The sequence below is a fragment of the Homo sapiens genome, chromosome 10, assembly GCF_000001405.40.
Source record: "Homo sapiens chromosome 10, GRCh38.p14 Primary Assembly".
Taxonomy (NCBI): domain Eukaryota; kingdom Metazoa; phylum Chordata; class Mammalia; order Primates; family Hominidae; genus Homo; species Homo sapiens.
Window position 1 is genome coordinate 44,401,894 of NC_000010.11, and position 15,453 is coordinate 44,417,346.

At 40.7% G+C, this 15,453-nt stretch overlaps 1 pseudogene; it reads right to left on the reverse strand.

Annotated features, from left to right (window-relative positions):
- RPL9P21 (ribosomal protein L9 pseudogene 21) lies at positions 12,522 to 13,286 on the reverse strand (annotated as a pseudogene).

Genomic DNA, 15,453 nt, shown 5'->3' on the forward strand with positions numbered 1-15,453 from the left:
ATGTTGAACATTTATGTCAAATACAATATTTTTTATATTGAACACAATTTCAATATTTTTTGGTCATGAATGTAACTGTGTATAATATTGATACTCAGCTTTCTATTTGTTTACATTGAATTGGAATATTTTTGCTCTTCATTCTGCTTTCAGTCTTTCTAAGTTCCTTTATTTTAATTTCATATTTTGTAGAATACAAGTAACCTGGAATTAGGTTATTTTGTTTTGGTCCTGACTGATGTCCCTTCTCCTTTGGGTTAGGCTTATACACTCATATTTATTGCATAAGATATACACTGTAAGACCTAGCTTTGGTGTTTCTACTTGAAAGCTTCCTTGGTTTTTAATGTTTCTGTCTTTTGAACTAGAGTCTGTGTTCTGCCTCCTAAAAAACATCACCAGTAATTAAGAAGCAAGAATGTCGTTTTTACACCAAAATGTTGATTTTAAGCTTCACATGGTGAAATTAGATACGATGTTGTATAACATTTGGCACCTTGGTGAGAAGTCAGATTAGAAAATTGCCCGTGGCTCTGAACTTTCTGTGATTTGACTTCAGTGTATTTTTCCCAATAGAGTCACCTGTTGCCTATTACAATGAAGTTAGATGTCTCCTGACCTCAGCCCATCCCCTGTTGGATAAAAAGTTTCTGCTTCAGTCTTGCTGTCCACGCCCGTGGAAGAAACTACAATAGGGGATTTACTCTCCTGGCCCAAATCAGGTCGAGCTTCTGGGCCTCCCTACTCCATGCTGGGGGATACTGGACATTCAGAGTGCCTTTCTGTCAGCCCCGCAACACAGCCCCACTGGGGTGGCTGACTGTGCTGACCTTGTGTCTCTGAGCTCAATTTCAACTGGGGTGTATCTGAGGGTTAGTCTTCAGAGAACTTGGAATGAGGTAAGACTTTCCTAGTTCCATGTAGGTGATTATTTTTCCTTTTGTCTATATTGAGTTATTTTGGTTCATTTGAGAAGTAACTGGGCAGGAGGCTTGTTGACATTTACTTGAAATGCCATCCTTTGTCACCTCTAAATCAATCTGTCCTCTTCTCCGGGATGGTATCTCTTTGAAACAAGAGTAGTTTCATTTTCAAGGTCGGGGCTCTAGCACCTAGCCCAGTGTGTGGCAGGCAGGGAGTGCTCAGGGCATGTTTGTGGGGGCTTTTCTCAACAGTGTGCAGGGCTGAATGAGGGAGTGGAAGCCTCTACTCTGCAGCAAAGATAAGACAATTATGATCAGCCTCTGAATTCCCATCACCATTGCCAGCAGCTGGGCCATAGGCACTTGTGCAGCCACATGGAATACCTCCTTTGTTAGAAGTACCCAGTTTGGACACTGTGGCCCTTTGGTTAGCTTTCATTTTCATTGTATCTCTTCATACATTTTTAGATTAAAAAAAGCTTTATTTAATAAAAATAAAACATTATTTCTTTAAAGCAAGCATTTAAAACATTTAGTGTGTACTTCTTCTGATATTGATTTTTTATTAAAAAAGACCAGAAATTCCTTGGAAAACATAATTAATGGCCAATGTTGAGGATGGAAACTTTAACTTTCACTGAAGAAGAACCATTTTCAAGTTCATATAGACAGTAAATTAGCCTCTGGAGCAATGACACTGTACTCAAGAGCCCCAGCCATCTGGAGAAGTGGTTTCCATGCGAAAATTTACAGTTGCATGGTTGTATTTTAGTGCTTTCAGTTTGGTTTCTCTTGAGAAATTTCCTTCTTTTGGTGAAGTTATTTAAATTTGGACATGGCTTACATGGCAACCAGAATTCCAAATTCTCATTATAAGGGAGTCAATGCCTTGGCCATATGTTCATGATTTCTCCTGTTGATAAAGTCTCCTGATGAATAAATACCCATTTTTTTCTAAAGGAAATTGCTATTCCAAATTTGATAAGAGTACTTTGAGTTTCTATTTCAATAATTCTGACAACCCTGATGGAGAAATCACTTTATTTTCTCCCTCCCTCTTTTTCTTCATTGTCATGAGTGATCAATGAATTAATCAGTTTAAAGAAGTGAATGTTGCATCAGTAAGAAGATAATTTTGTACATGTCTGTTTCTCTGCTTGGTAATTTTTTATTGTTTAGAAGTAGAAGATGGATTAAAAAGATAAAAGCCATCAGTGTAATATACAATATAAGGCATATGGTAGTTTGTCATTAATAAATATCCCACATCATTTAGGTTTTGCTTTGGTCAACAAACTTTTACCAAATTTGCCTAGTGTTTTTGATGAAACTGCTTGACCACTATTGACTTGGAGGATTAGTGATAGAACTGAAAGATCAAGGAAATTATTCGGAGAATTCATTCTATGGGTGGACTTTTCTAGTAACAAAAGGAAGAGCTGATTTTTGCACAAGCTATGGACAAATTAGGTAGTTGTGGACACTGATTCCACACAATACACTGGAATTTAACCCAGTGGTTCTTCCCATTCCTTGCAGTGCTCATCCCTACCTTGCCTGCTTAGATTAAGTTGAAATAAATCTTTGCCTAGTCTATTTCATCTGTTCTATTTACTTGTTACACACACACACAGACACACATATGTGTGTGTGTGTATATATGTGTGTGTATATATGTGTGTGTGTAATATATATATATATATATATATATATATATATATTTAGAGATTGCCCTAGGGTTTGAAATATACATTTTGAAATAATCTGAGTTTACCTTCAGGTACTGTTAAATCACTTCACATCTAGTGCGAACAGCTTTCTTCCCAATTGTTGCTCCTATCTTTTGTGCCACTGTTGTCACTTATTTTACTTTTACATAAGTTATGAATATACAATCTATTGTTACCATTACTGTTTTAAATTTTTGGCTATCTTTTAGAGCAATTTAAAATAAGAAAAAAAGAGAATTTTACCTTCACTTTTTCCATTTCCAACACTCTTCATTTCTTTGTGTAGATACAGTTTTCTAACCAATGCCATATTCCCTCTTCCTGAATAAGTCCCTTTAAAGATTTTTTGTGGAGGGAGTCAGCTGGGATGAATTATGTCTGTTTTCATTTGCCTGTGAATGTCTTTTTTTTTTTTAATTTTTGGAGGATATTTTCACTGGCTATAGAATTCTGGGCCAATGGTTTTTTTCTTTCAACACTTTAAATATATCACTCCATTGTTATTGTTTCGGACAAGAAGTCTGTTGTAATTCTTACCCTTGTTTCTCCTTAGGCAATGTGTCATTTTTCTCTGCCTTCAAGATTTTTCTCTTTGCTTTTAGTTTTCAGAGATTTGAATATATGTTGAAGTGTATTTTGTTTGTTTCTTTTATGTTGTTTCCATGTTTATCCTACTTGTGTCTTGTGAGTTTCTTGGATTTGTGGTCTGGTGTCTGTCATTAATTTCGGAAAATTCTTAGATGCTATTTCTGCAACTATTTCTTCTATTCCACTGTTTTTCTCTTTTCCTAGGATTTTAACTACATGTGTCTTAGAATATTTGATATTATCCACAGCTCTTGGATGTACTTTTTTTTATTGTTATTATACTATAAGTTCTGGGTTACAGGTGCAGAATGTGCAGTTTTGTTACATAGGTATACATGTGCCATGGTGGTTTGCTGCACCCATCAACCCGTCACTTACATTAGGTATTTCTCCTAATATTATCCCTCCCATATCCTCCCACCCCCTAACAGGCTCCAGTGTGTGATGTTCCCCTCCCTGTGTCCATGTGTTCTCATTGTTCAACTCCCACTTATGAGTGAGAACATGCAGTGTTTGGTTTTCTGATCTTGTGATAGTTTGCTGAGAATGATGGTTTCCAACTTCATCCATGTCCCTGCAAAGCAGGTAAACTCATCCTTTTTTATGGATGCATAGTATTCCATGGTGTATATGTGCCACATTTTCTTAATCCAGTCTATCATTGATGGACATTTGGGTAGGTTCCAAGTCTTTGCTATTGTGAATAGTGCCACAATAAACATACATGGGCTGGGCGCGGTGGCTCACGCCTGTAATCCCAGCACTTTGGGAGGCCGAGGCGGGCGGATCACGAGGTCAAGAGATCGAGACCATCCCGGCTAAAACGGTGAAACCCCGTCTCTACTAAAAATACAAAAAAATTAGCCGGGCGTAGTGGCGGGCGCCTGTAGTCCCAGCTACTTGGGAGGCTGAGGCAGGAGAATGGCGTGAACCCGGGAGGCGGAGCTTGCAGTGAGCCGAGATCCCGCCACTGCACTCCAGCCTGGGCGACAGAGCGAGACTCCGTCTCAAAAAAAAAAAAAAAAAACATACATGTTCATGTGTCTTTATCAGAGAATGATTTATAATCTTTTGAGTATATGCCCAGTAATGGGAACGCTGGGTCAAATGGTATTCCTGGTTCTAGATCCTTGAGGAATCCCCACACTGTCTTCCACAATGGTTGAACTAATTTATACTCCCACCAACAGTGTAAAAGCGTTCCTGTTTTTCCACAACCTCTCCAGCATCTGTTGTTTCCTCACTTTTTAATGATTGCCATTCTAACTGGCATGAGATGGTATCTCATTGTGGTTTTGATTTGCATTTCTCTAATGATCAGTGATGTTGAGCATTTTTTCATATGTATGTTGGTTACATAAATGTCTTCTTTTGAGAAGTGTCTGTTCATATCCTTTGCTCATTTTTTTGTTGGGGTTGTTTGCTTTTTTCTTGTAAATTTGTTTAAGTTCTTTGCAGATTCTGGATATTAGCCCTTTGTCAGATGGATAGATTGCAAAAATTTTCTGCCATTCTGTAGGTTGCCTATTCACTCCGATGATAGTTTCCTTTGCTGTGCAGATGTTCTTTACTTGAATTAGATCCCATTTGTCAATTTTGGCTTTTGTTGCCATTGCTTTTTGTGTTTTAGACATGAAGCCTTTGCCCATGCCTACATCCAGAATGGTATTGCCCAGGTTTTCTTCTAGGATTTTTATGATTTTAGGTCTTATGTCTAAGTCTTTGATCCATCTTGAGTTAATTTTTGTATAAGGTGTAAAGAAGGGGTCCAGTTTCAGTTTTCTGCATATGGCTAGCCAGTTTTCCCAACACCATTTATTAAATAGGGAATCTTTTCCCCATTGCTTGTGTGCATCAGGTTTGTCAAAGGTCAAATGGTGGTAGATGTGTGGTGTTATTTCTGAGGCCTCCATTCTGTTCCATTGGTCTATGTATCTGTTTTGGTACCAGTACCATGCTGTTTTTGTTACTGTAGCCTTGTAGTATAGATTGAAGTCAGGTAGCATGATGCCTCCAGCTTTGTTCTTCTTGCCCAGGATTGTCTTGGCTATGAGGGCTCTTTTTTGATTCCAAATGAAGTTTAAAGTAGTTTTTCCAACTCTGTGAAGAAAGTCATTGGTAGCTTGATGGGGATAGCATTGAATCTATAAATCACTTTGGGCAGTAAGGCCATTTTCACAATATTGCATCTGCCTGTCCACGAGCATGAAATGTTTTTCCATTTGTTTGTGTCCTCTCTTATTTCTTTGAGCAGTGGTTTGTAGTTCTCCTTGAAGAGGTCCTTCACATCTTTTTTAAGTTGTATTCCTAGGTATTTTATTCTCCTTGTAGCAATTGTGAATGGGAGTTCACTCATGATTTGGCACTCTGTTTGTCTGTTATTTGTGTATAGGAATGCTTGTGATTTTTGCACGTTAATTTTGTATCCTGAGACTTTGCTGAAGTTGCTTATCAGCTTAAGGAGATTTGGGGCTGAGACAATGGCATTTTCTAAATATACAATCATGTCATCTGCAAACAGAGACAATTTGACTTCCTCTCTTCCTATTTGAATATGCTTTATTGCTTTCTCTTGCCTGATTGCCCTGGCCAGAACTTCCAACACTATGTGGAATAGGAGTGGTGAGAGAGGGCATCCCTGTCTTGTGCCAGTTTTTCAAAGGGAATGCTTCCAGTTTTTGCCCATTCAGTATGATATTGGCTGTGGGTTTGTCATAAATGGCTCTTATTATTTTGAGATACATTCCATCAATACCTAGTTTATTGTGAGTTTTTATCATGAAAGCCTGTTGAATTTTGTTGAAGGCCTTTTCTGCATCTATTGAGATAATCATGTGGTTTTTGTCATTGGATCTGTTTATGTGATGGATTACATTTATTGATTCGTGTGTTTGAACCACCCTTGCATCCCAGGGATGAAGCCGACTTGATCATGATGGATAAGTTTTTGATGTGCTGCTGGATTCAGTTTGCCAGTATTTAATTGAGGATTTTCGCATCAATGTTCATCAGGGACATTGGCCTAAAATTGTCTTTTTCTGTTGTGTCTCTGCCAGGTTTTTGTATCAGGATGATGCTGGCCTCATAAAATGAGTTAGGGAGGATTCTTTCTTTTTCTATTGATTGGAATAGTTTCAGAAAGAATGGTACCAGCTCCTCTTTGTATGTCTGGTAGAATTTGGCTGTGAATCCGTCTGGTCCTGGACTTTTTTTGGTTGGTAGGCTATTAATTATTGCCTCAATTTCAGAGCCTGTTATTGGTCTATTCAGAGATTCAACTTCTTCCTGGTTTAGTCTTGGGAGGGTGTATGTGTCCAGGAATTCATCCATTTCTTCTAGATTTTCTAGTTTATTTGCACAGAGGTGTTTATAGTATTCTCTGATGGTAGTTTGTATTTCTGTGGGATCAGTGGTGATACCCCTTTATCATTTTTTATTTTGTCTATTTGATTCTTCTCTCTTTTCTTCTTTATTAGTCTTTCTAGTGGTCTATCTATTTTGTTGATCCTTTCAAAAAACCAGCTCCTGGATTCATTGATTTTTTGAAGGGTTGTTTTGTGTCTCTATCTCCTTTACTTCTGCTCTGATCTTAGTTATTTCTTGTCTTCTGCTAGCTTTTGAATTTGTTTGCTCATTTCTCTCGTTCTTTAATTGTGATGTTAGGGTGCCAATTTTAGATCTTTCCTGCTTTCTCTTGTAGGCATTTAGTGCTATAAATTTCCCTCTACACACTGCTTTAAATGTGTCCCAGAGATTCTGGTATGTTGTGTCTTTGTTCTCATTGGTTTCAAAGAACAACTTTATTTCTTCCTTCATTTTGTTATTTACCCAGTAGTCATTCAGTAGCAGGTTGTTCAGTTTCCATGTAGTTGTGCGGTTTTGATTGAGTTTCTTAATCCTGAGTTGTAATTTGATTGCTCTGTGGTATGAGAGACAGTTTGTTGTGATTTCTGTTCTTTTAAATTTGCTGAGGAGTGCTTTACTTCCAATTATGTGGTCAATTTTAGAATAAGTGTGATATGGTGCTGAGAAGAATGTATATTCTGTTGATTTGGGGTATAGAGTTCTGTAGATGTCTATTAGGTCTGCTTGGTTCAGAGCTGAGTTCAAGTCTTGGATATCCTTGCTAAGTTTCTGTCTCATTGATCTGTCTAATATTGACAGTGGGGTGTTAAAGTCTCCCATTATTCTTGTGTGGGAGTCTGAGTCTCTTTTTAGGTCTCTAAGAACTTGCTTTATGAGTCTGGGTGCGCCTGTATTGGATGCATATATATTTAGGATAGTTAGCTCTTCTTGTTGCATTGGTCCCTTTACCATTATGTAATGGCCTTCTTTGTCTCTTTTGGTCTGTGTTGGTTTAAAGTCTGTTTTATCAGAGACCAGAATTGCAACCCTGCTTTTTTTTTTTGCTTTCTATTTGCTTGGTAGATCTTCCTCCATCCCTTTATTTTGAGCCTATGTGTGTCTTTACATGTGAGAAGGGTCTCCTGAATACAGCACACTGCTGGGTCTTGACTGTTTATTCAATTTGCCAGTCTGTGTCTTTTAATTGGGGCATTTAGTCCATTTACATTTAAGGTTAATATTGTTCTGTGTGAATCTGATCCTGTCATTATCATGCTAGCTGGCTATTTTGCTTGTTAATTGATTCAGTTTCTTCATAGCTGGGATGGTCTCTACAATTTAGCATGTTTTTGCAGTGGCTGGTATCAGTTGTTCTTTCCATGTTTAGTGCTTCCTTCAGGAGCTCTTGTAAGGCAGGCCTGGTAGTGACAAAATCTCTCAGCATTTGCTCGTCTGTAAAGGATTTTATTTCTCCTTCACTTATGAAGCTTAGTTTGGCTGGATATGAAATTCTGCATTGAAAATTCTTTCCTTTAAGAATGTGGAATTTTGGCCCCCACTCTCTTCTGGCTTGTAGAGTTTCTGCTGAGAGATCAGCTGTGAGTCTGATGGGTTTCTCTTTATGGGTAACCCAACCTTTCTCTCTGGCTGCCCTTCACATTTTTTCCTTCATTTCAACCTTGGTTAATCTGATGATTATGTGTCTTGGGGTTGCTCTTCTTGAGGAGTATCTTTGTGATGTTCTCTGTATTTCCTTAATTTGAATGTTGGCCTGCCTTCTAGGTTGGGTAAGTTCTCCTGGATAATATCCTAAAGATAGTTTTCCAACTTGTTTTCATTCTCCCTGTCACTTTCAGGCACACCAATCAAATGTTGATTTGGTCTTTTCACATAGTTCCTTATTTCTTGGAGGCTTTGTTAGTTTCTTTTCACTCTTTTTTCTCTAATCTTGTCTTCTAGCTTTATTTCATTAATTTGATCTTCAATTACTGATATCCTTTCTTCTGCTTGATTGAATCGGCTATTGAAGCTTGTGTATCCTTCACAAAGTTCTCGCGCTGTGGTTTTCAGCTCCATCAGGTCATTTAAGCTCTTCTCTACACTGCTTATTCTAGTTAGCCATTCATCTAACCTTTTTTTCAATGTTTTTAGCTTCCTTGTAATGGGTTAGAATATGCCCCTTTAGCTCAGAGAAGTTTGTTTTTACCGACCTTCTGAAGCCTACTTCTGTCAACTTGTCAAACTCATTCTCCATCAAGTTTTGTCCCTTGCTGGCAAGGAGCTGTGATCCTTTGGAGGAGAAGAGGCGTTATGGTTTTTGGAATTTTCAGCCGTTTTGCGCTGGTTTCTCCCCATCTTCACGGATTTATCTACCTTTGGTCTTTGATGGTGGTGACCTTTGGATGAGGTCTCTGAGTGGACATCCTTTTTGTTGCTGTTGATACTAGTTAGTTTTCCTTCTAACAGTCAGGCCCCTCTGCTCCAGGTCTGCTGGCACTTGCTGGGGTTTCACTCCAGACCCTATTTGGCTTATTATCACCAGTGGAGGCTGCAGAACAGCAAAGATTGCTGCCTGTTCCTTCCTCTGGAAGCTTTGTCCCAGAGGGGCACCCGCCTGTATGAAGTGTCTGTTGGCCCCTACTGGGAGGAGTCTCCCAGTCAGGCTACACAGGAGTCAGGGACCCAGTTGAAGAGGCAGTCTGTCCATTATTGGAGCTTGAATGCTATGCTGGGGGAACCACTACTCTCTTCAGAGCTGTCAGGCGGGGATGTGTAAGTCTGGAGAAGCTGTCTGCTGCCTTTTGTTCAGATATGCCCTGCCCTCAGAGGTGTAATCTAGAGAGGCAGTAGGCCTTGCTGAGCTGCAGTGGGCTCTACCTAGTTAAGAGCTTCCCGGCTGCTTTGTTTACACTGTGAGCATAGAACTGCCTCCTCAAGCCTCAGTAATTGCCGACGCCCCTCCCTCCATGCTCCAGCATCCCAGGTAGATATCAGACTGCTACACTAGCAGCGAGGAAGGCTCCGTGGGCATGGGACCCACCAAGCCAGGCACAGGAGGGAATCTCCTGGTCTGCTGGTTGTGAAGACTGTGGGGAAAGTGCAGTGTTTGGGCAGGAGTGTACTGCTTCTCCAGGTACAGCCACTCATGGCTTCTTCTGGCTAGGAAAGGGAAATCCCCCAACCCCTTGTGCTTCCCAGGTGAGGCAACACCCCGCCCTGCTTTGGCTGGCCCTCCATGGGCTGCACCCACTGTCCAACCAGTCCCAATGAGATGAACCAGGTACCTCAGGTGGAAATGCAGAAATCACCCATCTTCTGCGTCAATCTCGCTAGTAGCTGTAGACTAGAGCTGTTTTTATTCGGCCATCTTGGAAGCAACTTGATGTACTGTTTTTAAAATTCGTTTTATGTTTCTCATCACATTTCCATTTAGCTAATTTCTATTGCTGTATCTTCAGATTCACTGATTCTTTCCTCAGCTGTGTCATATCCACTGAAGAGCATGTTGAGACATTCTTCATCTATGTTACTGTATTTTTTGTCTTTTCTGTTTCTATTTGATTGTAGGATTTCTGCTTCTCTTCAGAAATTACCCATCTGCTACCGCATGTTGAACCTTTCACATTAGAACCTCTCAGGTATTAATCACAGTCATTTCCCATCTCCTGTCTGACAGTTCCAACCTTGGCGCCATGTCGGATTCTGGTTCGGATGCCTGCCTTGTCTCCTAGACTGAGCTCTGAGCTCTTCTTGTGTTTCACATGCCTCCTGTTTTTGTTATTGTTGCTTTGTTGGAAGTTGAACATCTTATGGAGGGTGGTGTGTACGGAAGTAATTTTTTTACACTGAACATGAGCATGCCTTTCCTTCTGCTAGACCTTCAGCATGGACGGTTGTGTTAATGCTGTCACCAGTTTGGCTGAATTTGAAGTTTGTTGTGCTCTAGTTACCCTCAGAGCCAGAGAGTTCCGATTCCTCTGGTTATACCTTGTGTTTAGGGTGTGAACTACTTTTCCAGAGGGTTTTCCCCACTGCCTGTATTCTGCCTGGCTTAGGAGTCTGGCGGGGTGGTTTTGGGTCTACTCTTTGTGTTGCTCCCTGTGAATAATCTGTTGTTGCAGTTCTCCTGGCTAGGCACCACTGCCATGTGTGCCTGATGTCTGTTAGCATGGTGTTGGGGGAAGGGAGAAGGGTGCCTCAAATGTTCTGAGTAGGCCTGGACTCAGGCAGGCTCAGTGCAACTGATGCTTTCCTAAGTGCCCTGTACCTGCTCTAGCTCTGATGAGGGATCTTGCGTGCGTTTTTCTGCCTTCCCCAGGTATGCAGATTTCCTTTAATATCGCCTTCCCCTAGCTGCAGTGGGTTTCCCCACGGCAGGGTGCATTGCTCTTTCTCTGAAGATTAAGGCTGCTGTTCCCTTCTCTAAGCAGGATGGGGAGGGAGCTGTCTCAGCATTCTCAGTGATCTTCCCTGGGAGTGGATTTTGGGCTTCATGGAGGAAAATCCTGCAAGTGGTGCTAATGCCCCCAAATCTCCATCCCCTTCAGGTATCCTCCTTCTCATGCTAGCCATCCAAAAGTTGTAAGATTCAAAATAGAATAACTTGTGTCAAATCCTGGCCTAAATTGTGGGTGCAGTGAAGTGGATGAGGGGAGATGGGCTGAGGTGAGTTTGGAGAAAGGGCCAGAAACCAGGTTGTGCAGGGCCATGGGGGCCAAAGGAAGGAACTGGTGTCATGCTAAGGGAGCCAGTGGAGGAACTGGAATTTGGCACTTCCTTGATCTTATTTACTTTTAAAGGAGGCTAGTCTGAAAGTTTGGGAGAGGGCGAGTGGGCAGCATGGTTTATAAGGTCCGTACTCAACCCCAAATCCCATGACCCTGTCCCATGTCTATATCTACTGCAGGATAATGAGCTTCTGCTTCCATCTCTCTCAAAATATTACTTATCTGTCTGAAAAAAAAAATACAACTTATCCTTTACAAATACTACTTATCCTTTACAACAGAGCTGGGGAAGGCCATGAAGGGAGGACTCTCACCCATAATTTAACTGATAACAGGAGCTATCACAAAGTTATTCCAAACCACAGCTTACTACGTGAGTCACACAAGGACAGAGAGCAGCAGATACAAAAACTCCTGCCTGACACACTGTCTCATAAGCCCAACCCCAAACTGCAAGGGCCTAACCTGAACTCCAAGACCACAAGTCCTATCTAACAACCATTGACACCAATCAGAACTCTCTGGCTCTTGTAAAAAGCCATGAGCTGTCTTCTTTTTGGTGTCTGCAAGAAACCATTTGGTTTTTCCTTCCAACTTTTAGGTTCAGGGGATTCATGTGCAGGCTTATTACATGGGTAAATTGTGTGATGCTGGGGTTTGGTGTACAAATTATTTCATTACCCAGGTAGTGAGAATAGTACCTGACTGATAGTTTTAGATCCTCATTCTCTTTCCAACTTCCACCGTCAGGTAGGCCCCAGTGTGTACTGTTCCCTTCTTTATGTCCATGTGTACTCAATGTTTAACTCCTACATGAGAACATGTGGTGTTTGATTTTCTATTCCTGCATTAATTCTCTCAGGATATTGGTCTTTAGTTGCATCTATGTTGCTGCAAAAAACATGATCCTCATTCTTTTTTTAAGGCTATGTAGTATTTCATGGTGTATATGTACCACATTTTCTTTATCCAGTTCACCATTGATGGACACCTAAGTTGATTCCATGTCTTTGCTATTGTGAGTAGTGCTGTGACGAACATATGCATGTGTGTCTTTATGGTACAATGACTTATATTCTTTTGGGTATATACTCAGTAACACACCCAGAGGATTCCTTATATTCCAAAGGACTATAAGTTGTTCTACCATAAAGACACACATGCATATGTCAAAATGGGTCAAATGGTAGTTCTGTTGCTGTTTTTTTTCCAAATCAGTAAGTCTTTTATTGCATCGTTTAAATATCACAAGTAGGTCTTAGGAGTCATCCGGCATCTTGTTTCTGTAGCTGAGCTGGGCAACTCTTAGATCTTATTCATCAGCATGCTGAGCAGTTTCTTTTTCAGAGACATAGATACCATCCAAAAATTTCCTGATATGCTGAGCAGTTTCTTTTTCAGAGACATAGATACCATCCAAAAATTTCCTGATATGCTTGTTTTTAACTGTTGTTGCTTGCTGAATCAAAGCCGCTGAATTTGAAACAAGCTCAATGTCATTTCCTTCAAGGATTAATTCATGTTTCTGGGTTTGACATACTGAACAAGCAACACCTGGTCTCATCCTAACCCTGCGGATGTATTTTTCACCCAAGAAATTTCGGATTTCAACAAAAGACCCATTCTCCCGGGTAACGATGTTGATGGGGAAGTGAGCATACACAGATCTCATCTTGTAATGGAAGCCCAGTGTAACACCCTTGATCATGTTCTGTACATGACTACAAATAGTCTGAACCATAGCCGGTTCCTTTCTGTTACCTCACCACAAGTGTTGTTAAGCCGGAGCCTCTTTTTTTTCTTTACAAGAAGACTGAGTTCTATACTGATGTGATTGAAGTCCCTCCACAGAGTTCCTCTGGGGCCCTTCACAATAACTTTGCATCCCTTCAGAGTAATGACATTTTCCGGAATATCAACAGTCTGATTGCTGCGGATGGTCTTCATTCTTGCAGTAGACACGGTAAATAAAGTGGTAGTTCTGTTTTAAGTTCTTAGAGATATCTCCAAACTGATTTCCACAGTGACTGAACTAATTTACATTCCCACCAGCAGTGTGCAAGCATTCCCTTTTCTCTGTAACCTTGCCAGCATTTGTTATTTTTTGGCTCTTTAATAACAGCCATTCTGACTTGTGTGAGATGGCATCTTATTGTGGTTTTGACTTGCATTTCTCTAATGATTAGTGATGTTGAGCATTTTTTTCATATGCTTGTTGGCCACATGTATATCTAATCTTCTTTTGAAAAGTGCCTGTTCATGTCTTTTGCCCACTGTTTAATGAGGTTGTTTTTTGTTTGTTGATTTGTTTAAGTTCCTTTTAGATTCTGGCTATTAGACCTTTGTCAGATGCATAGTTTGCAAATATTTTCTCCCATTCTTTAGGTTGTCTGTTTACTCTGTTGATAGTTTATTTTGCTGTGCAGAAGCTCTTTAGTTTAATTAGGTCCCACTTGTCAATTTTTGTTTTTGTTGCAATTGCTTTTGGAGTCTTCATGAAATCTTTGCCAGGGTCTATGTCCAGAATGGTATTTCCTAGGTTTTCTTCCAGGGTTTTTATAGTCTTAGATTTCACATTTATTTCTTTAAGCCATCTTCAACTTTTTTTTCAAAACAACTTGTGTAATCTCCTCTTTCCCTAGTAACACCCTAACCTTTTCCTTTGTTCTCCAGACATTCCAGAGGCCACCCTGGTCTGTGTGTATGTCCTGAATTGCAATCCCACTTCTTGTTTATTATTCCCAAATAAAACCTTCCTATTTAGAGATTTACTTCTTTATATATTTTATGTTGACAATTAGTTCATTTAAAAATTTTAGCTGAATCTTCTTACCAGTTTATATGGCACCTAATGGTGTCTGCCTAGGTAAACAAATACTCAAATCCTGCTTCTTTTGGCATGAAGCTGTGTCTCCCTGGATTTTGGGTTAGTTGGTTGACCTGTGACCTCAGTACTCTGAGGGGTTCAAGAAAAGTCGTGATTGTGCAATTTGTCTAGCTTTTTTTTCTGGTTGTAAGAGGGATACATTGTTCTAACCCTCTACATTTTCTGAGCTGACACAGGAAGCCCTTTCCTCAGGTCTAAACACATAGAAAGCAAGATTTTCTCAGATATTTGTGCCAGAACTACTACTTTCCTCTTTTTCCGGGAGAGAAGACTTATGTAAATGAGTTTGCAAGGCTCTGCTCTTGTTTTGAAAAACACATCTGCACATGTCCGTGCTTGCCAGAAACCTCAAATTGTTCAGCCAGTCTCCTGAGCACTGTAGCTTTCCCATTTTGGAAAAGCCTTTGGAAAATAGGAGTGAAGATTGAGTTGTGTTTTAACCAGGGTTTCTGTACTCCAACCAGAGGAGTGCCGGCTGAAAGAATCATTATGGAAAGGATGGGGCTGAGGCAGAAACTGAGCCAGCCATTGGGATGTCAGGGCTGGCCCTGGAGGGCTGTGCGAGCCCTAGGGCTGCAGCCGGGCTCCTGGCTCCCTGGCAAGGTTCTGGTAATCGTGGCTTGAGAAAGGAAGTGAAAGCTTCCCTTTTTAAGCTATGTTGTAAACTCCCTCAGCAAAGTTGTTTATAGGAGGTGGTAGAATAAATATTATTTAAGGTACAGTTTGGGGAGATTAGGACTCTAATCTCACCTGAGGGAAGTGAATATGTCCAGCTGCTGAAGAATGTTAAATAGGCCAGCTCAGGAAGGGCCCCCAGGCTGTTTGCCTAATGCTGTCCCCAAGAGAGGGATGGAAAGTGCCCTCCTTCTAGGACCAGGGAGAGCAGAAAGTGGGGAGCACAGGAGGGTAGCTTGGGGATCATCTCACACACTCCTCCTGTGAGTTTGCTAAAGCTTTGTTAACAAACCATCACAAACTGGATAGCTTAAACAACAGAAAATTATCATTGCCCACTTCTGGAGGTGGGAAGTTTGAAAATGAAGTGTTGGCAGGGTTGGTTCCTTCTGAGAGCTGTGAGCAGGGATCTGCTCCAGGTCTCCTCCCTTGGCTTGTAGACGGCTGTTTCCTCCCTGTGTCTTTTCACAGGGTCTTCTCTCTGTGAGTGTTTGCCTCTGTACCCCAATTTCCCCTTTTCATAAGGACTCTAGCCGTATTGGCATACTGGCTTAGTGGCCCACCCTGCTCCAGTATGG